General features: G+C 46.6%; 1 protein-coding gene across 36 annotated transcripts in view, besides 1 other annotated feature; it reads left to right on the top strand.

The window, feature by feature from the left end:
- PSPH (phosphoserine phosphatase) overlaps positions 1-23,628 on the top strand; it is a 40,381-nt gene extending 16,753 nt beyond the window's left edge. For 4 of the 36 annotated variants that reach the window (NM_001370514.1, NM_004577.4, XM_047420646.1 and 1 more), the window contains 7 exons: positions 586-731; positions 2,638-2,763; positions 13,461-13,619; positions 14,958-15,092; positions 17,313-17,458; positions 19,521-19,669; positions 22,823-23,628. In NM_001370514.1, the coding sequence (NP_001357443.1) occupies positions 13,480-13,619; positions 14,958-15,092; positions 17,313-17,458; positions 19,521-19,669; positions 22,823-22,930 (678 nt within the window). In that variant the 5' untranslated portion in view covers positions 586-731; positions 2,638-2,763; positions 13,461-13,479 and the 3' untranslated portion in view covers positions 22,931-23,628. Of the gene's footprint in view, positions 1-537; positions 732-1,197; positions 2,476-2,637; positions 2,764-3,800; positions 3,919-13,460; positions 13,620-14,957; positions 15,093-17,312; positions 17,459-19,520; positions 19,670-22,822 lie in introns of those variants that run through there. The other 32 variants (NM_001370513.1, NM_001370516.1, XM_047420648.1 and 29 more) reach the window with 21 other exon arrangements.
- Positions 704-923: an enhancer, noted in NCBI's record as "active region_26046". NCBI's record gives its function as "activates an Ori minimal core promoter by ATAC-STARR-seq in GM12878 lymphoblastoid cells {active_cell/tissue: GM12878}" and the evidence as "EXISTENCE:reporter gene assay evidence [ECO:0000049][PMID:35858748]".

The following is a 26,011-nucleotide window of genomic DNA, read 5'->3' as shown; positions in this document are numbered from 1 at the left end:
TACAAAAAATTAGCCGGGCGTGGTGGCGGGCGCCCGTAGTCCCGGCTACTTGGGTGGCTGAGGCAGGAGAATACCGTGAATCCAGGAGGCGGAGCTTGCAGTGAGCCGAGATCGTGCCACTGCACTCCAGCCCAGGCGACAGAGCGAGACTCCGTCTCAAAAAAAAAAGAATATAAGTAGTCTTTGAAGTTCTTTTGGGACCTACACTGCTGCAAGCGTATAATGCCAAACGTGGATTTCAAAAGAGGCCCCCCGACGGAGATTTCACTAATTGCTAAATCAGTGCAGCAGTCCCTTGCTTCCCTCACCTATCCTTATCCTAAGTGGTGGTGGCGGCAGCGCGGAGCAGCTTCTGAAGGTCCGGGAGCTCTTTTCCTCTGCAAAGCGGAGGTGCCACAGGCACCGTGCACCTCTCAGACTGCAGGGGCTGAGCCCCCGGAGGAGGAGGGGGCTGGTTCAGGGAGCCCCTCCCCTGGGGCGGGGCCAAATCGTCCTCCCAGCCCGGCTTTGCAGAGCAGACAGATCTGGTGTCTCCAGTTTACAGAAGCACTTGCAGAACTCATCAGAAGCCACCCCGCTTATCAGCAGATCTCAAGAGAGCGTTCGGTGGAGGCCCTGGGTCTGCACAGCTCACCTCCCTGGGAACTGCTCGCCCGAGCGTCGGAGCCGGCGCTGGCCCCCTGCAGCCGGAAGGTTGCAGCCGCAGGAGCCCCGGAGGCCCAGGACACAGGGTAAGTCCCGGCTTGTGCCTTCCCTGCGCCCAACTTTCAGATTTTGCCGACTTTCCTTTTCCTCTTCCAGGCTTCCTCTCTGAGTCTACATTTCTTCTTAATCGCGTAGGCAGATCATTTCCTAAAATCTCCAGGCTTTCTTTTCATTGATTTATTTTTTGGGTAGCTTCACTTGTCTAATCTTACAGCAGCTGCCTGTTGCCAAACAGCATGAATGAATGATGCAATCCTACACAGGAGCACCCTTAGTGCAAGATTGGAACAATCCCCAAACTCAGAGTTGAAGTGTCCGACTTTGTCTTCTTTCCCATTAGAATTAGAATTTTAAAATAAGTACTTACCAGATACATTGTTATAACGATACAGCCTTAAGTTGGGAATTAAATAAATCATGCTTTCATTCATTAAATATATTTATTATATTTTCTTTTCTTTTTTTATTTTTATTTATTTTTTTTTTTTTCAGACAGAGTCTCGTTCTGTCGCCCAGGCTGGAGTGCAGTGGTGTGATCTCGGCTCACTTCAACCTCCGCCTACAGGGTTCAAGGGATTCTCCTGCCTCAGCCTCCTGAGTATCTGGGTACCCACCATCATGCCTAACTAATTTTTTAATTTTTGTATTTTTAGTAGAGACAGGGTTTCACCATGTTAGCCAGGCTGGTCTCAAACTCCTGGCCTCAAGCGATCCACCTGCCTCCACCTCTGCCTCCCAAAGTGCTGGGATTACAGGCATGACCACTGTACCTGGTCACTATATTTTCTTTATGTATGATTTGCATATTATTACTTTTTAAATATTTGATGACTGATATTGGAATGAGGATCAGGGAGGAAAATAATAAAATCCAAGATTTCTGTATTACCGTGCCGGGTAGGTTTTCAATATCATGACCATATAGCCCTGTCACTTTCATGTCGGTGAAACAAAGTAGTCAGGACTTTTAAAATTTTCAAATGATTTAATATATGCCTGATACCTACCCTCCTTTCCTTCCTTCTTTTTTTTTTTTTTAAGAGACAGGGTCTCACTTGGTCACCCAGGCTAGAGTGCAGCGGTGCAATCATAGCTCATTGGAATCTCAAACTCCTGAGCCCAAACTCCTGCCTCAGCCTCCCAAGTAGCTGGGACTACAAATACGCACCACCATGCCTGGCTCATTTATTTTATTTTTTGTGGAGATGGCATTTCACTATGTTGCCCAGGCTTATCTTGAACTCCTGGGCTCAAGCAGTCCTCCCTCCTCGGCCTCCCGAAGTGCTGGGATTACAGGTGTGAGTCCCCATGCCCGGCCTTTTTTTTTTTTTTTGAGACTCGCTCTGTCACCCAGGCTGAAGTGCAGTGGCACGATCTCAGCTCACTGCAAGCTCTGCCTCCTGGGTTCATGCCATTCTCCTGCCTCAGCCTCCCGAGTAGCTGGGACTACAGGTGCCCAGTAGCATGCCTGGCTAAATTTTTTTTGTATTTTTGGTAGAGACGTGGTTTCGCCATGTTAGCCAGGATGGTCCTGATCTGACCTCGTGATCCGCCCGCCTTAGCCTCCCAAAGTGCTGGGATTACAGGTGTGAGCCATCATGCCCGCCCAAGTCTGCTTCCTTGTCTCTGCATTTAGTTCTCCTAAGAGATTCTCTTTCCCTCTCCCTTGTCTTTGTACCCTGCTAATCAGGTGTACATGATTTCCTATCAGACTTGAACCTTGCAGAATTGAAGCCATAGAAGAGTATGTTGACTCTACAGTGCTTGAAGGTGGGTAGGAGTAAAGCATTTCCCAGAGGAAGCAGTCTTAGGAAATTTTGCCTCTGACCCATTTTTGTGCCAGTCCCGCCAGGAGAGAGAGTGAAGCCAGTCTCCCTCTTTCCTGTTTTGTGTATGGACTTCGATGTTCATTTCCTCATTCTCTCTTTCTAGGCTCTTGCTCTTGCAGAATCCACAGGTCTTTCTTGAGGAAATCTGTAGACAGAACTTTGTGCTGCGTTTTTATCTAGGGAAGGAACAGAAGAGTGTCGTCTCCTAGAAATCTAGCACTGGAGAAACGTGAGTCTGATTTGCCTTTTCTTGGTTTTGTTTTGGTTTTTTGCTGTCATTGTAATGTTTTTTACGCATTGAACTGTTACACGTTTGTCTATCTGCTAGCAGTTTACTCTTTTTTGAGACAGAGTCTTGCTTTGTCGCCTAGGCTGGAGTGCAGTGGCGCAATCTTGGCTTACTGCAACCTCCACCTCCTGGGTTCAAGTGATATCTCCTGTCTCAGCCTCCTGAGTAGTTGGGATTACAGGTGTGGGCCACCACACCTGGCTAATTTTCGTATGTTTAGTAGAGACAGGGTTTTGCCATGTTAGCCAGGCTGGTCTCGAACTCCTGACCTCAGGTCATCCATCCACCTCGGCCTCCCAAAGTACTGGGATTACAGGCGTGAGCCACTGCACCCGGCCAGCAGTTTACTCCTCACCTGAATTTTAAAAATTGATGTCAACTATGTGGCATGCAGAAGATCTCAGCTTCCCAGAATAGCTGGTTATATTACATATCATTTCAACTTTTATTTTAGCTTTAAGGAGTACATGTGCAGGTTTGTTACATGGGTATATCACATGATGCTGAAGTTTGGGGTACAATTGATCCCATCACCCAGGGTTTGAGCGCAGTACCCAGTAGGTAGTTTCTCAGTCCTTGCCCTCCTTCCCCTGCCTTCTTGTAGTCCTCAGTTTTTTTTGTTTGTTTGTTTTGTTTGTTTTTTTTTTTTTTGAGACGGAGTCTCGCTCTGTCGCCCAGGCCAGACTGCGGACTGCAGTGGCGGAATCTCGGCTCACTGCAAGCTCCGCTTCCCGGGTTCACGCCATTCTCCTGCCTCAGCCTCCCGAGTAGCTGGGACTACAGGCGCCCGCCACCGCGCCCGGCTAATTTTTTATATTTTTAGTAGAGACGGGGTTTCACCTTGTTAGCCAGGATGGTCTCGATCTCCTGACCTCATGATCCACCCGCCTCAGCCTCCCAAAGTGCTGGGATTACAGGCGTGAGCCACCGCGCCCGGCCCCTCAGTTTTTTGTTGTTGTTGTTTTTTGTTTTCACAGAGTCTCGCTCTGTCACCCAGGCTGGAGTACAATGGTGTGATCTCGGCTCACTGCAACCTCCACCTCCAAGGTTCAAGTGATTCTCCTGCCTCAGCCTCCTGAGTAGCTGGGATTACAGGTGCCCACCACCATGCCTGGCTAATTTTTGTATATTTAATAGGGACAGCATTTCACCATGTTGGCCAGGCTGGTCTTGAACTCTTGATCTCAAGTGAGTTGCCCGCCTTGGCCTCCCAAAGTGCTGGGATTACAGCTGTGAGCCACCGCACCTGGCCATCACTGTGTGTTTTTCCCGTCTTTGTATCCTCATGTACCCAGTTTAGCTCCCACTTATAAGTGAGAACATGTGGTATTTGGTTTTCTGTTCCTGCGCTAATTCACTTAGGATAACGGCCTCCAGCTGCATCTGTGTTGCAGCAAAGGACATGTTTTCATTCTTTTTTATGGCTGTGCTGGCTTTTTTTTTTAGGCCGGGCATGGTGGCTCACACCTTGGGAGGCCGAGGTGAGCTCCCAGCACTTTGGGAGGCCGAGGTGAGCAGAACTCCTGAGGTCAGGAGTTCAAGACTAGCCTGTCCAACATGGTGAAACCCCATCTCCACTAAAAATACAAAAATTACCTGGGTGTGGTGGCGCACACTTCTGATCCCAGCTATTCGGGAGGCTGAGGCATGAGAATCACTTGAACCCAGGAAGCAGAGATTGCAGTGAGCCAAAATCATACCACTGCACTCCGGCCTGAGTGACAGAGCAGGACTCCATCTCTAAACAAAAGATAAAATAAAATATAGTGTAAGTGCATGTGCTGGGGATCCCAGCCCTTGTTACAGGGAACCTCTTTGACTCTCCTCTGATTCAGAACCTTTTCAGAATCTACTGTGTATTCTTTTTTTTTTTTTTCTTTTTTTTTTTTTGAGATGGAGTCTCGCTCTGTCGCCCAGGCTAGACTGCAGTGTGGCACAATCTCGGCTCACTGCAACCTCTGCCTCCCAGGTCCAAGCAATTCTCCTGCCTCAGCCTCCCCACGCCCGGCTATACTTTGTACTCTTTCAATGCCCGGGGACCTGAACAAATTTATCCCTACTACCAAAGCAAATAAGCTTGGTTCTCGCAACTATGCATGACCTTCACAACTCTGTACAGGCTTTTATTTTTTCTTACACAGGTGAAGATAAGAGGTCAGTCCTAACAAGGTGAAGGAAGTAAGGTGATCTTAGAAGCCTCTTGAAAGATACAGAGATTGAGAAGTTGGGAAAGCATTTCTTTGGGCAAGGAAATTTTTCCTCTTATCCAAAATCAGACCTCCGAAGGCTGGCCCTGGAGGAAAGCTTGCTTTTGTACTTTGGAACTAGGGATGAGAAGGCCTTGTCAGCAGTGGCTTTTTTTTTTTTTTTTTTTTTAATCAGTTGGTCCTTTGCTTGCCAAGAGATGAACTAGCTGGGGCCAGCCAGGCAGAAGTTCTGTTCTGAGCTGCAGAAGGCAGTGGTCCGGATGGGACCTGGGAGCTGCTGTGTCTGAGAATCTGAGAATAGACCTTCCCACCGGCATGTCTTCTACCCTGGCCCTGCCCTCTCCCTCCCTGTTAGAGCCAAATACGAAGAATCCAGAGTCCATTCTCTGGCAATGATTTTTCTGTGTGTGGAATTCTAATGTACACAATTTACTTTGAAGCAACTGACCTTACTCAGCAGACTTTTTCCCCCTATAGCCACGAGAATTTTAAATACGCATAGATTGTGAGTCACTCCTGGTGGAGACAATGAAAAGAGGAGGAAATTGGCCAGGCTTGGTGGCTCACACCTGTCATCCCAGCACTTTGGGAGGCCGAGGCAGGTGAATCACTTGAGGTCAGGAGTTTGAGACCAGCCTGGCCAATATGGTGAAACCCCATCTCTACTAAAAATACAGAAGAATTAGCCAGGCGTGGTGGCAGGCGCCTGTAATTCCAGCTACTCAGGAGGCAGGAGAATCGCTTGAACCTGGGAGGCGGAGGTTGCAGTGAGCCAAGATCACATCACTGCACTCCATCCTGGGCAACAGAGTGAGACCCCATCTCAAAAAAAGTAAAAATAAAAATTAAGAAGGAGGAAATCAAAAGTGTACAGGGAGGTGCACCATTTTGCAGAGCAGGATGGGAAGAGCTAAAAGGAGCTGTGGCCGAGTTTGCTCTGCTGCCCAATCAAGCAGGGAGGGAGTTGATACTCTTGTAACCCAATGGGTGAAGGCCATCTCCCCTGGCCTGACCGTTTCATGGGCAGAGTTAAGGTCCTAAAATCCAGCTCAGTCTCCTAGGGAGGGTGTGGAAAAAGAATCAGCCTTCCAAGTAAATTCAATGTAAAGTGAGTCTCTAACATTCTATTTTGGCCAGCATGGTGGCTTACACTTATAATCCCAGCACTTTGGGAGGCTGAGATGGGAGGATCATTTGAGGCCAGGAATTCAAGACCGGCCTGGGTAACATAGTGAGACCTCATCTCTACAAAAATAATAATAATAGTAACTTAGCTGGGTGTGGTGGTGCGTGCCTGTGGTCTCTGCTACTCAGGAGGCTGAGGCAGGAGGATCACTTCACCTAGGAGGTTGAGGCCACAGTGAGCTATGATTATACCATTGGCACTCCAGTGTGGGCAACAGAGTGAGACCTTGTCTCTAAAAAAAGCCAAAAATATTCTGTTTTCTCCTTGGGACCACATTACAACCCAGGAGGCAGGTGTCAACAATTCTGAGCTGTAAGTCAGGCCTAATGTTCAGCTGGGGATGTGTAAATCAGTTCTCACTTTTAGTGGAGGAAATGTACCTTTCCTTTCAAACTCAAGGCTGATGGTCTTGCTTTTTTTTTTTTTTGAGGCAGGGTCTCACTCTGTCACCCAGGCTGGAGTGCTGTGGCCTCACTGCACCCTTGAACTCCTGGACTCAAGCCATCCTCCCACCACAGGCTCTTGACTATCTGGGACCACAGGCATGCACCACCATGCCCCACTTTTTTTTTTTTTTTTTTTTTTTTTAGAGAAAGAATCTTACTGTGTTCTCGAGAACTGATCTCAAACTCCTGGGCTCAAGTGATCCTGCTGTCTTAGCCTCCCAAAGTGCTGGGATTATTACAAGTGTGAGCCACTGCACTCGGCCAATCTCATTGAAACTATTGCTAGTGTCAGTGGTTGGAAAGAGGTTCAAGTACCTGGTTGGCCTTTTTTTTTTTTTTTTTGAGATGGAGTCTTGCTCTTGTCATCCAGGCTGGAGTGCAGTGGTGGGATCTCGGCTCACTGCAAACTCCACCTCCCGCGTTCAAGCAATTCTCCTGCCTCAGCATCCTGAGTAGCTGGGATTACAGGCACCTGACTAATTTTTGTACTTTTGGCCAGGGTGGTCTCGAACTCCTGACCTTGTGATTCGCCTGCCTTGGCCTCCCAAAGTGCTGGGATTACAGGCGTGAGCCACCGCTCCCGGCCAAAGTAACTGGTTTTTCAAACATGGCCAGTAATTATTTGTCTAATCATTTCGACAAGACTGGAAACCTCTTGAAGATGGCACCCATGCATTATGCATTCCTCTTTGGGTCTTGTGTCAGGGTCCCTGGGGACTGGCTTTGAGATTCTGGTGTCCATCAGTCATTCTCAGGAGCATTGCCCATTCTTAGTTATGTTATGTTGCCTCATGCATCTTCTTTTTTTTTTTTTTTTTGTTTTTGAGACAGAGTTTTGCTCTTGTTGCCCAGGCTGGGGTGCAATAGCGCAATCTCGGCTCGCCGCAACTTCTGCCTCCCGGGTTCAAGCGATTCTCTTGCCTCAGCCTCCTGAGTAGCTGGGATGACAGGCATGTAGCACCATGCCCAGCTAATTTTGTATTTTTAGTAGAGACGGGGTTTCACCATGTTGGTCAGGCTGGTCTCGAACTCCCAACCTCAGGTGATCCACCCGCTTCAGCCTCCCAAAGTGCTGGGATTACAGGCATGAGCCACCGTGCCGGGCCTTCTCATGTACCTTCTTAAAAAGTTCTTTAGCTTATCCCACTTACCTCATTTTAGCTCCTCTTACACCATTTGTCTGTTTCTGGCTTCCTCTTCACTCACCTATGGTTCATTCTCCATTCTTAGTGGACTTGCACTACAGTAAGTGCTGCTACTCTGCTGATAGACCTGCTGACTTCAAGGTCTTTACAGTGAGCCTGCCTGGGCATGTAGTATGAATTAGCTTGATTTCTGCTGGACCAAAGCCAAATGACTGGTTTCTTTTTATTTTTTATCTTTTTTTTTTTAATAGAGACAGGGTTTCACCATGTTGGCCAGGCTGGTCTCAAACTCCTAGCCTTAAGCAATCACCTGTCTTGGCTGCCCAAAGTCCTGGGAACAGGCATCAGCCACCATGCTGGCCCTTGTTGAGTTCTTTTTTTTTTTTTTTTTTTTTTGAGATGGAGTCTCGCTCTGTCACCCAGGCTGCAGTGCAGTGCAGTGGTGCAATCTCGGCTTACTGCAATCTCCATGTCTCCACCTCCCAGATTCAAGCGGTTCTCCCGCCTCTCCGTCCCAAGTAGCTGGGATTACAGGTGCCTGCCACCATGCCCGGCTAATTTTTGTATTTTTAGTAGAGATGGGGTTTCACCATGTTGGCCAGGCGGGTCTCGAACTCCTGACCTCAAGTGATCCTCCTGCTTCAGCCTCCCAAAGTGCTGAGATTACAAGTGTGAGCCACTGCAGCCGGCCCCTTGTTGAGTTCTTAATAACTGCTTAGGTTCAACTCTATTTAATTCATAAAATATTTAATTCATGAAACATTTAACTAACACCTATTGGGTGCTGGGTGCAGAGATAGAAGATAATTCAACTGGAGTGATTGACTGATTTTCTGGGTTGATGGGGAGGAAATAATGTGGTATAAGGGAGGCCACTTGATCTGCACGGTGAAGAAGTAGGACTTTCTTCATGACATGGGGGATATGGTGATTCCAGGCAGAGGAGCAGCATTTGAAATGGTGTAGAGGAATAAAAAAACACATGACATAGGCCGGGTGCGGTGGCTCATGCCTATAATCCCAGCACTTTTGGGAGGCCAAGGCAGGTGGATTGCCTGAGGTCAGGAATTCGAGACCAGCCTGGGCAACATGGTGAAACCTTGTCTCTACTCAAAATACAAAAATTAGCTGGATGTGGTGGCACGTGCCTATAGTCTCAACTACTCAGAACGCTGAGGGAGGAGAATTGCTTGAACCCGGGATGGGGAGGTTGCAGTGAGTCGAGATTGCACCACTGCACTACACTCCAGCCTGGGTGACAGAGCAAGACTCCGTCTCAAAAAAAAAAAAGTCCTTAGTATTCCTTGAGCCATAAATTGTGTGTGTCACCAGGCGCAGTTGCTCACGCCTGTAGTTCCAGCACTTTGGGAGGCTGAGTCGCATGGATCATTTTAGCCCAAAAGTTTGAGACCACCCTTGGGCAACATGGTAAAACACCATCTCTACTAAAAATACAAAAAATTAGCCAGATATCATGCCTGCCTGTAGTCCCAGCTGCTCAGGAGGCTGAGCCAGGGAGGCAGAGGTTGCAGTGAGCTGAGATTGCACCACTGCACTCCAGCCTGGGTGACAGAGTGAGGCCCTAACTCAAAATAAAAAAAAATGTGTGTGTGTGTATGTGTGTGCATGTGCATGTGAATAATGTGTGTGTGTAAAAATGTGTGTGTATGTGTATTTGTGCGGACTGAGGTTGGTAAAATCCACAGGCATAGGAGCCAGATCGTGATGGGCATAAATTATGTAATAAAGACATTATGTTAATGGCTGGGTACTGTGGCTCTGGTAGGGCACGGTGGCTCACACCTGTAATCCCAGCTCTTTGGGAGGCTGAGGCAGGAGGATCATTTGAGGTCAGGAGTTCGAGACCAGACAGGCCAACATGGTGAAACCCCATCTCTACTAAAAATGCAAAAATTAGCTGGGCGTGGTGGCATGCACCTATAATCCTAGCTACTTGGGAGGCTGAGGCAGGAGAATCACTTGAACCTGGGAGGCAGAGGTTGCAGTGAGTCAAGATTGTGCCACTGCACTCCAGCCTGGGTGACAGAGCGAGACTCCTTCTCAAAAAAAAAAAAAAAAAGATTTATTAATAGACACTGAAATTTGAATTTCATTTTTATTTATTATTATTACTTTTGAGACAGGGTCTCACTCTGTCACCCAGGCTGCAGTGCAGTGTCATGGTCATAGCTCACTGCAGCCTCAAACTCCTGTGCTCAAGCAATCCTTCTGCCTCACCCTCCTGAGTAGCTAGGTCTATAGGTGTGTGCCACTACACCTGGCTAATTTTAAAAATACTTTTGTAGAGATGAAGTCTTGGTATGTTGCCCAGATAGGTGTTGAACTCCTGGCTTCAAGTAATCCTCCCACCTCAGCCTCCCAAAGTGCTAGAATTACAGGTGTGAGCCACTGCAGCCAGCCTGAAATTTGAATTTCATTAGTTTTTACATGTCAAAAAATATTATTCTTCTTTTGATTTTTTTTTCAACTGTTTAAAATGTAAAAATCAGCCAGTCGTGGTGGCTCACACCTGTAGTCCCAGCTACTCAAGAGGCCATGATGGAAGGTTCACTTGAGCCCAGGAGTTTGAGGCTACAGTGAGCTATGATGGCACCACTGCACTCCAGCCTAGGTGACAGAATGAGATCCTGTCTCAAAAAAAGTAAAGTAGGCCGGGCGCGGTGGCTCACGCTTGTAATCCCAGCACTTTGAGAGGCCGAGGCGGGCGGATCACGAGGTCAGGAGATCGAGACCACGGTGAAACCCCGTCTCTACTAAAAATACAAAAAATTAGCCGGGCGTGGTGGCAGGCACCTGTAGTCCCAGCTACTTAGAGAGGCTGAGGCAGGAGAATGGCGTGAACCCGGGAGGTGGAGCTTGCAGTGAGCGGAGATCGCGCCACTGCACTCCAGCCTGGGCGACAGAGCCAGACTCTGTCTCAAACAAAAAAAACAAAAAAAAAAAGTAAAATAAAATAAATGTAAAAATCATTCTTACTTGTGAGCCATACCAAACCAGGTGGCAGGGTGGATTTGGCCTACAAGCTATAGTTTGCTGACCCCTGACTTAAAATATTTTTTTTTCCAGGTCAACTTAAAATGGCCTTATTCTGCCAACTGCATTGGTTGGAAATCAGTTGAGCAGTGGGTTGTTCAACTGCTTTGAGTCTGTTTTTAACTGCAGTCTATTCTAAATATAGATTACTTACATCATCTGTGTAGCCTTGTATATGACATATTAGTCTCTGATAGGAGGCTGGTCTAGGCAATCTTGAGGGTCCCTTTCATCCTAATTCTAGTCCAAAGATTTTCTAAAAAATAAAGGCCAGGCATGGGGGCTCATGCCTGTAATCCCAGCAATTTGGGAGACCTAGGTGGGAGGATTGCTTGAGTCCAGGAGTTGAAGACCATTCTGGGCAACATAGCAAGACCCCCATCTCTTCAAAAAAAAATTTATAAATTAGCCAAGCATAGTGGTGCGCACCTGTAGTCCCAGCTACTTGGGAGACTGAGGCAGGAGGATCACTTGAGCCCTGGATTTGGAGGCTGCAGTGAGTCATGATTGTACCACTGCACTCCAGCATGGGTGACAGAGTGAGAACTTGTCTAAAAAAAAAAAAATTTGTTTTGACTCTCTGTCCTCTGCAGCTTCTGTAGCAGTGTGGCTTCCAGAGTTTCTTCCTGTACCTTCACCATTTTCGTTCTCCTTCCCAGGCTCAAGTCAGGACATAAAGGTGGTGGTCCTGCAGGCTCTGTCCTTAGCACTCTTTTCTTCTCCCTCTCTCTATTCTCCCTGGACTTTATTTTTATGATTTTTTCTTTTCTTCAGACAGGGTCTCATTCTGTGGCCCCATGCTGGAGTGCAGTGGCGTGATCTTGGCTCACTGCAATCTCCGCCTCCCAGGTTCAAGAGAGTCTCCTGCCTCAGCCTTCTGAGAAGCTGGGACTACAGGTGCACGCCATCCTGCCCGGCTAATTTTTAGTTTTTTAGTAGAGATGGGGTTTTGCCATGTTGGCCAGGATGGTCTTGAACTCCTGGCTTCAAGTGATGCTCCCGCCTCAGCCTCCCAGAGTGCTGGGATTACAGGCGTGAGCCACCGCGCCCAGCCTCTTCCTGGACTTTAATCAGACCATGTCTTCAACTAGCCCCTGTACATTGGCGACATTGTGTATGTTTAGCCCTCATATTTAGCTCTGACCTTTTTTCTGAGGCTTAAAGCCTTTCCCAGTATCTGGAAGTTAAAGTCTAAACTCCTTAGCCTGGCCCTAGGACCTGCTTAGTGTGAATTCCTGATGCACAGCCAGGCCCCTGGGCCAAGCCATAGGGTAGCTTCCAGCAGGTCATCTGCTTCCTTCTCCTTGTCTTTGCTCACACTCCTCGCTCTGCCATCACAAGCCTCCCTCCTTGTCTCCACCCCCGCTCCCTCTCCTCCCAGCACATGCCAAATCGATGCCCTGCCCTTTGACAACCCACTCAGAGGGCCACTTACCTGTCAGATTCAGCTCAAATACTTGTGCCTCCTTGAAGCCTTCTTTTTTTTTCTTTTAGTTAGAGTCAGGGTCTTGCTCTGTTGCCCAGGCTGGAGTGCAGTGGCACGATCTCAGCTCACTGCAGCTCTACCTCCTGGGTTCAAGTAATTCTCCTGCTTCAGTCTCCCAAGTAGCTGGGATTACAGGCGTGCACCACTATGCTCAGCTAATTTTTTGTATTATTATTTTTAGTAGAGACTTGGTCTCTCTATGTTGCCCACGCTGGTCTTGAACTCCTGGCCTCAAGCAATCCTCCTCCTGCCTTAGCCTCCCAAAGTGCTGGGATTACAGGGATGAGCCACTGTGCCCAGTCTGAAGCCCTGTTTCATAGATAAGGCTAAACATTTTTCCTGTGTTCCCACAGAGCCTTATGCACACCTCTGCTTTTTTTTTTTTTTTTTTTTTTGAGACGGAGTCTCGCTTTGTCGCCCAGGCTGGAGTGCAGTGGCGCGATCTTGGCTCACCGCAAGCTCCACCTCCCAGGTTCACGCCATTCTCCTGCCTCAGCCTCCCGAGTGGGTGGGACTACAGGCGCCTGCCACCACGCCCGGCTAATTTTTTTATATTTTTAGTAGAGACAGGGTTTCACTGTGTTAGCCAGGATGTTCTCGGATCTCCTGACCTCGTGATCCGCCCGCCTCAGCCTCCCAAAGTCCTGGGATTACAGGCCTGAGCCACCGCGCCCGGCCTCACACCTCCGCTTTAATGCTTGCTTCCTCACTACAATTAGGTAGAAAAAAAAAAAACAACTATATATATATCTAAAAGAAAAGAAAGATGGCTTCAAGGAGGCACAGGTATTTGAGCTACTCAGGAGGCTGAGGCAGGAGAATCACTTGAACCTGAGTGGTGGAGGTTGCAGTAAGCCAAGATCGTACCACTGCCCTCCAGCCTGGGCAACAGAGTAAGACTCCACCTAAAAAAAAAAAAGAAAGAAAGAAAGAAGAAACTGGTGTAGTGTGGGAAGTAAACAAAAAGAAAAGGAAAAAAAAATGAATCTGTGAGAACACTCTTATGTGGCCTGCACTGACTTTGACACAAATTAGATTGGCTTAGTAGGCAAGGTGGGATCTTTTCATAATTTTATTTGATGTCTTTAAATACATTTATCTTTTTTCTTGTAGGAGGAAAATTCTTCCAGCGATGGTCTCCCACTCAGAGCTGAGGAAGCTTTTCTACTCAGCAGATGCTGTGTGTTTTGATGTTGACAGCACGGTCATCAGAGAAGAAGGAATCGATGAGCTAGCCAAAATCTGTGGCGTTGAGGACGCGGTGTCAGAAATGTAGGGATAGCATTTATTCACTTTATGAAATGATAAAGACTTTCTAAAGAGTGACTGTTTTGGATGAAGTGCTAGACCCTGGCTATGGAACATTTGCACTAGGCTTTTTCTTTCATTCCTTAGAGCTGAATTTGACATATTCATTCATTTATATAAATATTTATGGCAAACAAACATGGATAAGACATGTTCTTAGCTTGATCGGGGAATGACAACCGTCACTAACTAAAGAAGATGGCCTGGGGGGCGAGGTCCAAGTGTCCAGTGGCTTTGTGTCATGGTTGAAAGTGTGACCTTAGTGGTTCCCTGGAAAGGTTCAGAGTCTCTTGGTGGATCCTGGGTCAGATCCCCTCTCTCCCTCCTGCCCTCCCGCCCTGCAGCTGGGGACCTCCCTCTGCAGTCCCAGTCCCCCAGTCATGCACCATGTCATTTTCTTTTTTTTTTTTTCGAGACGGAGTCTCATTTTGTCACCCAGGCTGGAGTGCAGTGACCCAATCTCAGCTCACTGCAACCTCTGCCTCCCAGATTCAAGCAATTCTCCTGCCTCAGCCTTTTGAGTAGCTGGGATTACAGGCGCATGCCACCACGCTCGGCTAATTTTTGTATTTTTAGTAGAGATGGGGTTTCACCATGTTGGCCAGGGTAGTCTCGAACTCCTGACCTCGTGATCCGCCCACCTTGGGCTACCAAAGTGCTGGGATTACAGGCATGAGCTGCTGCACCCGGACACTATTTCATTTTCAACTGCCTTTCATGGAAGAATGCTTAACCTTTGGTCTCTTTCTTGATTTATGACAGCTCACAGCTTGCAAGAAAAATACCTATGGATAGGCTGTGTGCCTTTTTTTTTTTTTAGATGGAATCTTAACTCTGTCATCCAGGCTGGGGTGCAGTGGTGAGATCTTGGCTCACTGCAACCTCTGCCTCCCGGGTTCCAGCAATTCTCCTGCCTCAGCCTCCTAAGTAGCTGGGATTACAGGCGTGCACCACCACACCTGGCTAATTTTTGCATTTTTTTAGTAAAGATGGGGTTTTGTCATGTTGACCAGGCTGGTCTCAGACTCCTGGCTTCAGGTGATCTGCCCACCTCAGCTTCCCAAAGTGTTTGGGATTATGGGCATGAGTCACTGCACCCAGCCTGTTAATGTTATTTTCAAGCAATCCTTCAAAAGTTTATTCCAAGGCCTTGCTCTCCTAGTAGCAAAGCCTGTCTGTTGCACACTGGGCTCTTGGTAGCATCTTCCTTTTGGTGGATGTCGTGCAGACCCGGGGCAGTAAGGCATGTTAACCTTGAGGACATCGGACCTGGCTGGCCTGACTGTTGGGTCTCCCTCCTAGGACACGGCGAGCCATGGGCGGGGCAGTGCCTTTCAAAGCTGCTCTCACAGAGCGCTTAGCCCTCATCCAGCCCTCCAGGGAGCAGGTGCAGAGACTCATAGCAGAGCAACCCCCACACCTGACCCCCGGCATAAGGTAAGAGGAACCCCGGCTCCAGGTGTATTTCAGCACCAGTGTTGGGGGGCACATCCTCCCAAGAGCATCTAACTATTCCTTTAGAGTGCCCTCTGGGTGGTTTATTTATTTTCATTTTCATTTTTTAATTTTTTAATTATTTTTTTAAATTGTATTTTTTCGAGATGAAGTCTCACTCTGTCACTCAGGCTGGAGTGCAGTGGTGAAATGTCAGCTCACTGCAGCTTCTGCCTCCCAAGTTCATGCAATTCTCCTGCCTCAGCCTCCCGAGTAGATGGGATTACAGGTGCCCACCAGCACACCTAGGTAATTTTTGTATTTTTAGTAGAGATGGGTTTCGCCATGTTGACCACACTGCTTGAACTCTTGACCTCAAATGATCTGCCTGCCTGGGCCTCCCAAAGTGCTGGGATTATAGCTGTGAGCCACTGCACCCGGCCTATTATTATTTTTTTTAGAGTCAGCGTCTCATTCTGTTGCCCATGTTGGAGTACAGTAGTATAATCATGGCTTACTACAGCGTTGAACTCCTGGGGTCAAGTGGCCCTCCCTCCTTAGCCTCCTTAATAGTGGGGACTACAGGTGCATGCCACCATGCCCAGCTAATTTTTAAAAAAAAATTTTTTTTGAGAGACAGGGTCTCACTTTGTCACCCAGGCTGGAGTGCAGTGGCATGAATAGAGCTCACTGCAGCATCAGCCTTCTGGGCTCAAGGGATCCTCCTGCCTCAGCTTCCTAAGTAGCTGGGACTACAGACGTAGGCCACCATGCCTAATTTTTTTTTTTTTTAATTTTCTGTAGACACAGGGTCTCACTATGTTGCCCAGGCTGGTCTTGAACTTGTGGGCTCAAATGATCAATTTTCCCACCTCAGCCTCCCAAAGTGTTGGAATTATAGGTTTGAGCCACTATACCCAGCCTTTAAAATATTTTTTGTAGAGATGGGGGTCTTGCTATGTTGCCCAGGCTGTTCTCAAGCTCCTGGCCTCAAGTGATTTTCTACCTTGGCCTCCCAAACTGCTGGATTTAAAGGCGTGGCCTGTGTGGTGCTTTTGGCACTTACACGTGGTCTTGTCTGGCCAGTTGTCTGGTCCTGTCGGTTTCTGCCTTTCCTCTTTCTCCAGGGAAAACCTAAGCTTTCCTTGTTTGTCCTCATCTTGTGTTTTTCTGGGTCCATGGGCAGAGTAGAGTTCTGGAACGGTTTCCTAAAGCAGACAAACCCTACCCATTGTTTTTTTTTTGTTGTTGTTGTTTTTTGAGACAGAGTCTCGCACTGTTGCCAAGCTGGTGTGCAGTGGTGCAGTCTCGGCTCACTGCAACCTCCACCTCCCAGGTTGAAGCAATTCTCCTGCCTCAGCCTCCCAGGTAGCTGGGATTACAGGCATGTGCCAACATGCCCAGCTAATTTTTGTATTTTTAGTAGAGATGGAGTTTCACTATTTTGGTCAGGCTGGTCTCGAATGCCTGAGCTCGTGATCCACCTGCCTCGGCCTCCCAAAATGCTGGGATTACAGGCGTGAGCCACCACGCCCAGCCCCTACCCATTGATTTCTAAGTGCATTTAGAAAAACATATAAGGCTGGGCATGGTGGCTCATGCATGTAATCCCAGCACTTTGGGAGGCCAAGACAGGCAGATCACCTGAGGTCAGGAGTTCAAGACCAGCCTGGCCAACATGGTGAAACCCCATGTCTACTAAAAATACAAAAGTTAGCTGGGCGTGGTGGTGCGCATCTGTTGTCCCAGCTACTCGGGAGGCTGACACAAGAGAATCGCTTGAACCCTGTAGGAGGAGGTTGCAGTGAGCTGAGATCGCACCACTGCACTCCAGCCTGATGACAGAGACAGAGGGAGACTCCATCTCAAAAAAAAAAAAAAAAAAAGTAACTGGGTGTGGTGGCAGGTGCCTGTAATCCCAGCTACCTGTGAGGCTGAAGGAGGAGAATCGCTGGAACCCTGGAGGCAGAGGTTGCAGTGAGCCGAGATCGCACCACTGCACTCCAGCCTGGGCGACAGAGCGAGACTCCATCTCAAAAAAAAAAGAAAAAGAAAAACATATATAAAACATTAACACCCCAGGCAGTATACCTTGTCAAACATACCTCAGGCAAATGCATTCAGGAGAAGAAAATGTATCTTATTTCCCTCTTCATGTTTCGTTTTTTTTTTTTTTTTCTTTTGTATTACTCAGTGTTGGGTATTTTGTATTTTATTTTGCAGGGAGCTGGTAAGTCGCCTACAGGAGCGAAATGTTCAGGTTTTCCTAATATCTGGTGGCTTTAGGAGTATTGTAGAGCATGTTGCTTCAAAGCTCAATATCCCAGCAACCAATGTATTTGCCAATAGGCTGAAATTCTACTTTAACGGTAAGATGTTAACAGTAACATGTTCCCTTTCTTAGCAGTTCCATTGTTCAGTATTCTGGGTAATGTCTTTGGAATGCAACTTGAACAGTCACATCAGAGTTAAATATTGAGATGAATGGTTCTCTTAATTGATGTCTTTTGCCCTTTGGTACCCTTTGCTCAGCAAAATAGACTTAGGTCATCACCTGTCCTAGCTTTGGTATCTATAACATCACCTGTCTGTACATAAATGTCTGCATTTCGTGAAACATTAACTCCTACGAAGCCCCCTATGACTTACTTTGCTATATGTTATATTTCAACTTTATGGGAGCTTCTATGCATTTGAAGCAATTTAGACTCAAGAAGGAGACTTTTGGCTGGGCACGGTGGCTCACGCCTGTAATCTCAGAACTTTGGGAGCCTGAGGCGGGAGGATCACTTGAGGTCAGGAGTTCAAGACCAGCCTGGCCAACATGGTGGAACCCCAACTCTGCTAAAAAAAAAAATACAAAAATTAGCTGGGCATGGTGGCACATGCCTATAGTCCCAGCTACTTGGGAGGCTGAGGGAGGAGAATCACTTGAAGCTGGGAGGCGGAGGCTGCAGTGAGCTGAGATCTCGCCACTGCACTTCCAGCCTGGGTGACAGAGCGAGACCCTGTCTTTAAAAAAAAACAAGACAGAGACTTTAGAAGGGAGACTTTTGTTAATGGATTACTGAACTACAGCCCTTGGGGAAGCCTCCTGTCCCCTCTCTGGTCCATAGCGGTGCCACAGCTGTTATATTATCTCAGATCGCCAGTTACATCAAGGAGTGACTGATAGTGATTTTTTTTTTTTTTTTTTTTTGAGACAGGGTCTCACTCTATTGCTCTGGCTGAAGTGCAGTGGCTCCATCTCGGCTCACTGCAACCTCTGCCTCCTGGGTGCAAGCGATTCTCCTGCCTCAGCCTCCCAAGTAGCTGGGATTACAGGTGCCCACCACCACACCTGGCTAATTTTTGTATTTTTTTTTTAGTAGAGTCGGGGTTTCATCATGTTGGTCACGCTGGTCTCAAACTCCTGGCCTGAGATGATCCACCTGCCTTGGCCTCCCAAAGTGTTGGGATTACAGGCGTGAGCCACTGTATGTTAACAGAACATTCTTGAATGATCTAGAGATAGAGATCATTGAAAAAAGAAGTCAAGAATGAGTGTGGTAATTACTGTAAAAATAGAAATAATTGATAAAAAATAAGCTGGAATTTCCTCTTGGGTGACATAATATATTAACATTTTAAATTTAATATATTAAGGCTGGGTGTGGTGGCTCACGCCTGTAATCCCAGAACTTTGGGAGGCCGAGGCAAGTCTGATCACCTGCGGTCAGGAGTTTGAGACCAGCCTGGCCAATGTGGCAAAACCCCATCTCTACTAAAAATACAAAACTTAGCTGGTGTGGTGGCATGCGCCTATAATCCCAGCTACTTGGGAGGCTGAGACACGAGAATGGTTTGAACCTGGGAGGCGGATATTGCAGTGAGCCGAGATCACACCACTGCACTCCAGCCTGGGCAACAGAGTGAGACACTGTCTCAAAAATAAATTAATTAATTAATTAATTTGATACTACTATTTTATGGTGTTCTGCCACCTCAACAAGGTTTGAGAATTACTGGAAGCTTAAAGGATACAACAAAATTCACCCAATTTATTTATGACCTAATAGAGCCATCTCTACAATTGATAGTTATAATTTAAAAGCAAAGGTTGGCTAGGTGTGATGGCTCACACCTGTAATCCCAGCACTTTGGGAGGCTGAGGCAGGAGGATCACATGAGCCTAGGAGTTCCAGACCAACCTGGGCAACATACCAAGACCCCATTTCTATAATCATAATCATAATCATAAAAGGAAATAAAAGCAAAGCAAAGCTTGTTTATTCCCAGGAACAGGTGTGGAGCTCCAGGCTGTGTGACTTTACCGACGGCCATTTTTAGCCTTCTCAGTGACATTTAAGTGAAGATATCATCTATGCAGAAAGCTGGCATTGGTCAGATACTTCTCTGGGTCTTTAACCCTATTTTTATTTCTCTTTTAAGGTGAATATGCAGGTTTTGATGAGACGCAGCCAACAGCTGAATCTGGTGGAAAAGGAAAAGTGATTAAACTTTTAAAGGAAAAATTTCATTTTAAGAAAATAATCATGATTGGAGATGGTGCCACAGATATGGAAGCCTGTCCTCCTGCTGTATGTATTAAGGGTGCTAATTTTTTTTCAGGTTGTACTTTTGTTTTATTTATTTATTTATTATTTCTTTATTTTTTTTGAGACGGAGTTTCACTCTTGTTGCCCAGGTTGGAGTGCAGTGGCGTGATCTCAGCTTACTGCAATATCCGCCTCCTGGGTTCAAACCATTCTTGTGTCTCAGCCTCCCAAGTAGCTGGGATTACAGGCACACGCCACCATGCCAGCTAAGTTTTGTATTTTTAGTAGAGACAATGTTTCGCCACGTTGGCCATGCTGGTCTCGAACTCCTGACCTCAGGTGATCTGCCTGCTTCAGCCTCCCAAAGTGCTGGGATTACAGGCATGAGCCACCGTGCCCGGCCGTACTTTTGTTTTAGACAGCTGATGCATCCTATATTCCCAACACTTTGGGAGGTCGAGGCAGGAAGATGGCTTGAGCACAGGAGTTTGAGACCAGCCTGGTCAACATAGTGAGACCCCATCTCTACAAAATAAATAAATAAAATAAAATAAAAACAGCTGATTTCGAACTACATAAGATTTAAAACAGGAGTTAACAAAAACAACTCTCATTACAAGATAAAAATGAAGTAATAAAAACACATTCAATCTTGTTTTGTCAACTTTGTGCAAACCCAAGAAAAGTTGTGAATAAGGAACTAAAAACCTTTTAAAACTTTTAACAATGCCTTATCCCCGTAGGATGGGCACCACCTTTTAGCCTAGGTGTGTGCTCAATAAGTTGATTTCATTTCCCCAAATAATACCATCAACAACTCATAACCAAGATTTTAATGTCATTTTATGCTTTATATACTAGCTCCTCATACATTACCTCATTTAATCTTCATAACAGCCCTGTGAAGTCAAATATTATGTTTTGTTTTGTTTTTCTTAGATAGAGTCTCACTCTGTCACCCAGGCTGGAGTGCAGTGGTGTGCTCTCAGCTCACTGCAACCTCCGCCCTCTGGGCTCAAGTGATTCTCCCACCTTAGCCTCCCAAGTAGCTGGGACCACAGACGCATTCCACCACACCCAGCTAAGATTTTGTGTTTTTGGTAGAGGCAGAGTTATGCTATATTTCCCAGGCTGGTCTCAAATTCCTGAGCTCAAGCGATCTCCCCTGCTTTGGCCTCCCAAAGTGCTGGTATCACAGGTATGAACCACCATGCCTGGCCAAATGTTGTGTTCTTCTTACTGATAGGGGAACTGAGGCTTGCAGAGATTATATGATTTACCTGTAACATATCAGAGCATTTTGTTTTTATTTATTTATTTATTTTTATTTTTTGGAGACAGGGTCTTGCTATGTTGCCCAGGCTGGAGTGCAGTGTTGCGATCATAGCTTATCACAGCCCTGAACTTCTGGGCTCAAATGATCCTCCCGCCTCAGCCTCCTTGGTAGCTGGGATTACAGGTGTGTGCCACTGCATCCCACACCACAACAGCATTTTATTCCTCTGAATTAATGTCATTTTCTGAGACTAGCAGAGGTTTTATTTTTTGAGACAGGTTCTTGCTCTGTCACCTAGGCCGGAGTGCAGTGGTGCAATCTCAGCTCATTGCAGCCTCAACGTCCCAGACCAAGCGATCTTCCCATCTCAGCCTCCTGAGTAGCTGGGACTGCAGGCGCATGCCACCACACCTATCTAATTTTGTTTATGTTTTGTAGAGATGAGGTCTCACTATGTTGCCCAGGCTAATCTTGAACTCCTGGCTTAAGTGATCTTCCTGCCTTGGCCTGCCAGAGTGCTGGGATTACAGGTGTGAGCCAACATGCCCGGCCAGGGATTTTATTTCTAAGCATTTTAAAATCAATGCTATATATATGTGTGTGTGTGTGTGTGTGTGTGTGTGTGTGTGTGTATACACATACACATATACGTATATATATGTGTGTGTATATAAATATATACACACATATGTATATATATGTGTGTATATAAATATATACATACACATATACATATATGTGTGTATATATATACATATATAGTATATGTGTGTATATATATAATCAAATGCTATATAGCAAGTGTCATAAATATCAAATGTGTCCATTTCACATAGGGCTTTGCCTTTGCCATGTCATTCTAACGTAAGAAAAACTACACCAAAAATATAGTGTGGCCAGGCGCAGTGGCTCACGCCTGTAATCCCAGCACTTTGGGAGGCTGAGGCAGGTGGATCACCTGAGGCCAGGAGTTTGAGACCGGCCTGGGCAACACGGTGAAACCCCGTCTCTACAAAAATACAAAAAAATTAGAGACAGGGTTTCACCATGTTGGCGAGGCTAGTGTCAAACTCCTGACCTCAGGTGATCCACCCACCTCAGCCTCCCAAAGTGCTGGATTACAGGCATGAGCTACCACACCCAGCCGCCTTTGAGTCTTTTTACTGTTAGCTTAGATAATTTATAACCAATGTTGGGGTTGTCTAAGTAGTGAACATTGGGCTACTAGTTTAATGAGGAATGCATAAAAGTAAAATGAAGAGATTTCTCAGGGAGCTCCCAATCTCATTTTCAAGAAATGACAAAATCAGCCAGGAGCGGTGGCTCACGCCTGTGATCCCAGCACTTTGGGAGGCTGAGGCGGGAGGATTGCTTAAGCACAGAGGTTCAAGACCAGCTGAGCAACGTGGCAAAACTCTGTCTCTAAAAATTTATTCAGGGATTGTGGTGTGCACCTGTCATCCCGGCTACTCAGGAGGCTGAGGCAGGATGATCACTTGAGCCCAGAAGTTCAAGGCTGCAGTGAGCCATGACGGTGCCACTGCACTCCAGCCTGGGTGACAGGGTGAGACTCTGTCTCAAGAAACAAAAAAGGAATGACAAAATTAGATGGGTGCAGTGGAGCATACCTGTAATCCCAGCACTTTGGAAGCTGACGCAGGAGGAGGTTGAGAGCAGCCTGGCAACATAGCAAGACCCTACAAAAAATAAAAAAAAGTAGCCAGGCGAGGTGGGGCATACCTGGAGTCACAGCTACTCAGGAGGCTGAGGCATGAGAATCACTTGAACCCAGGAGGCAGAGGTTGCAGTGAGTGGAGATTGTGTCACTGCACTCCAGCCTGGGTGACAGAGCGAGACTCCAAAAAATAAATAAATAAATAAAAATAAAAATCATTTCTCTCTCTTTTCTTCCTTCTTAGGATGCTTTCATTGGATTTGGAGGAAATGTGATCAGGCAACAAGTCAAGGATAACGCCAAATGGTATATCACTGATTTTGTAGAGCTGCTGGGAGAACTGGAAGAATAACATCCATTGTCGTACAGCTCCAAACAACTTCAGATGAATTTTTACAAGTTATACAGATTGATACTGTTTGCTTACAGTTGCCTATTACAACTTGCTATAGAAAGTTGGTACAAATGATCTGTACTTTAAACTACAGTTAGGAATCCTAGAAGATTGCTTTTTTTTTTTTTTTAACTGTAGTTCCAGTATTATATGATGACTATTGATTTCCTGGAGAGGTTTTTTTTTTTTTTGAGACAGAATCTTGCTCTGTTGCCCAGGCTGGAGTGCAGTGGCGCGGTCTCGGCTCACTGCAAGCTCTGCCTCCCAGGTTCACGCCATTCTCCTGCCTCAGCCTCCCGAGTAGCTGGGACTACAGGCACCCGCCACCACATCCGGCTAATTTTTTGTATTTTTAGTAGAGACGGGGTTTGACCGTGTTAGCCAGGATGGTCTTGATCTCCTGACCTTGTGATCCGCCTGCCTCAGCCTCCCAAAGTGCTGGGATTACAGGCTTGGGCCACCGCGCCCAGCCAATGTCCTAGAGAGTTTTGTGATCTGAATTCTTTATGTATATTTGTAGCTATATTTCATACAAAGTGCTTTAAGTGTGGAGAGTCAATTAAACACCTTTACTCTTAGAAATACGGATTCGGCAGCCTTCAGTGAATATTGGTTTCTCTTTGGTATGTCAATAAAAGTTTATCCGTATGTCAGAACGGATTTGTGGAATTTTCAGTTCTGCCTCTTGCATATTGGAATACCCAATATTTCAGGTACCGTGTTGAAGCATAAATAGCCCCCAGGCAAGAAACAGGCTTAAGACTCTACTTTGCTTAGTGCTGGGTACAATGTCCTCACCCCATGAGCCCACTCCCACTTCCTGAAGCCCTGGGACCTGGAAAGTCCTTTTTTTTACTTCTTGGGATTTGTCATATATGAAATGTTACAAAAGTTTTTTGTTTTTTGTTTTCCTCCAATATAACAATAGAGTCTTAAACAAAAGTACTGATTAAAAATGGATATTTGGGCTCAGGCCTGTAATCTCAGCACTGTGGGAGGACAAGTTAAGAGGATCACTTGAGGACAGGAATTCGAGACCAGCCTGGACAACAGAGCAAGACCCTGTCTCTACAAAAAATAAAAACATTAGCTGGATGTGGCGGCACGCACCTGTAGTCCCAGCTACTTGGTGGGCTGAGATGGGAGGATCCCTTGAACTCAGTAGTTCAAGGCTGCAGTGAGCTGTGACTCTGCCATTGTACTCCAGCCTGGGTGACAGTGAGACCCCGTCTCTTAAAAAAAAAAAAAAAAAAAAGATATTCGAAAATCACATAAAGTAAAAGAAATAAAAACAAGTTTTACTAATCACAAAGGCCAGCATTTTCCCCTAAATGAATTAAATATTAATAACTCCTAACAGCCTATATAAACCATTTCTTTTTTATAAATGACTTGGAAATACTCGAAAGCCAGGTTTATGTTTGTTTTGAGCAGAGCCAAGCAAGGGAAATTTCAGAACATGCTTTGAATGTGTGAGATGCTATACCCTCCCTGGAGGAAAAATGGGGGGAGGGAAAGCTACGGGGTTAACATTGAGAATTAGTTGAAAAATGTATCATTTAACCAAATTTGGCCAAATAATTAAATAATTATTCAGCCACATAAGCAAATCAGATGAATCAAATTTCCTCCAAATCAGTTTCTGAAGGAGAGACATGAAATAAGTTTGGCACCATTTAAATGAGATTCCAAACAATGAGGCCGTTGTTCCCAACTGTGAATACCTCCTGGCCGCTCTCCTAGAAACTGTTTTGTGGTGTTTGCACTTTTCAGTAGTGCCAAGCTCTGGGCAGGACCAGGCATGCCAGGACCTTGAAAAGTGCTGCAAACGGCATCAGCCTCTGCACCGCCTGGTGTGCATGGCAGGAGCAGGCCATGGGTGGACAGGTGGGAGGACCAATCCCCCACTGGTTTTCACTGTCTGACCGTCACAGCTGCTATTGCCACACGGGTTCTTCTTGCCTGCGGCCCAGAGAGAGCCCATTTCTCAATACAGGGGAATTGCAATAGAGACAGAGATTAATTCATGCAGAACCAGCCGAACAGGAGGCCGGAGCTTTATTCTTACATCAATCACCCCAAAAATTCGGAGGCTAGACTTTTTCAAGGATACTTTGGCAGGCCAGGGGATTCGCTTCTGGCTGGGGCCATGGGGTGGGGTGGGGTGAGGTGGTGGGGCGGCAGGGGTGGGGAGGTCATCGGATCCAGGTGGAGCTACTGATGGTCAGAAATGCAAAAACCTGGGCCAGGCACGGTGGCTCACGCCTGTAATCCCAGCACTTTGGGAGGCCGAGGCGAGCAGATCACTTGAGATCAGGAGTTGAAGACCAGCCTGGCCAACACGGTGAAACTCCATCTCTACTAAAAATACAAAAATTAGTGGGGCGTGGTGGAGCACACCTGTTATCCCAGGTACTTGGGTGGCTGAGGCAGGAGAATCACTTGAAAAACTCCAGGGGGCAGAGGCTGCAGTGAGCGGAGAGATCACACCACTGCACTCCAGCCTGGGCGACAGAGTGAAACTGTCTCAAAAAAAAAGAAAAAAAGAAATGCGAAAATCTGAAAAGACATCTCAAAAGGCCAATCTTAGGTTCTACAGTGGTGATGTAACCCGCAGGAGTAACGGGGAATTGCAAATCTTGTGCCTGCCCTCTGGAATAATAACTGGAAATGGTGTTGATGTGTACACCTTGGCAGAATTTAGGCTTCTCTCATCCTCCTTGCCTGGTGGTCTCTCATTAGCTTTATTAAGGTGGTTGAGTTTTGGGGAAGGGCTGTTATCTTTTTTTTCTTTTTTTTTTTGAGACGAGTCTCACTCTGTCACCCAGGGTGGAGTGGAGTGGCGCAATCTTGCCTCACTGCAACCTCCGCCTCCTGGGTTCAAGTGATTCTCCTGCCACAGCCTCCTGAGTAGCTGGGATTACAGGCATGTGCCACCACGCCCAGCTAATTTTTTTCTGTATTTTTAGTAGAGACGGAGTTTCACCATGTTGGTCAAGCTGGTCTCGAACTCCTGACCTCGTGATCCTCCCGCCTCGG

The sequence above is a fragment of the Homo sapiens genome, chromosome 7 (genome assembly GCF_000001405.40).
Source record: "Homo sapiens chromosome 7, GRCh38.p14 Primary Assembly".
Lineage (NCBI taxonomy): Eukaryota > Metazoa > Chordata > Mammalia > Primates > Hominidae > Homo > Homo sapiens.
The sequence above is the reverse complement of the archived record's forward strand: the minus strand, read 5'-3'. Positions and strand labels throughout refer to the sequence as shown.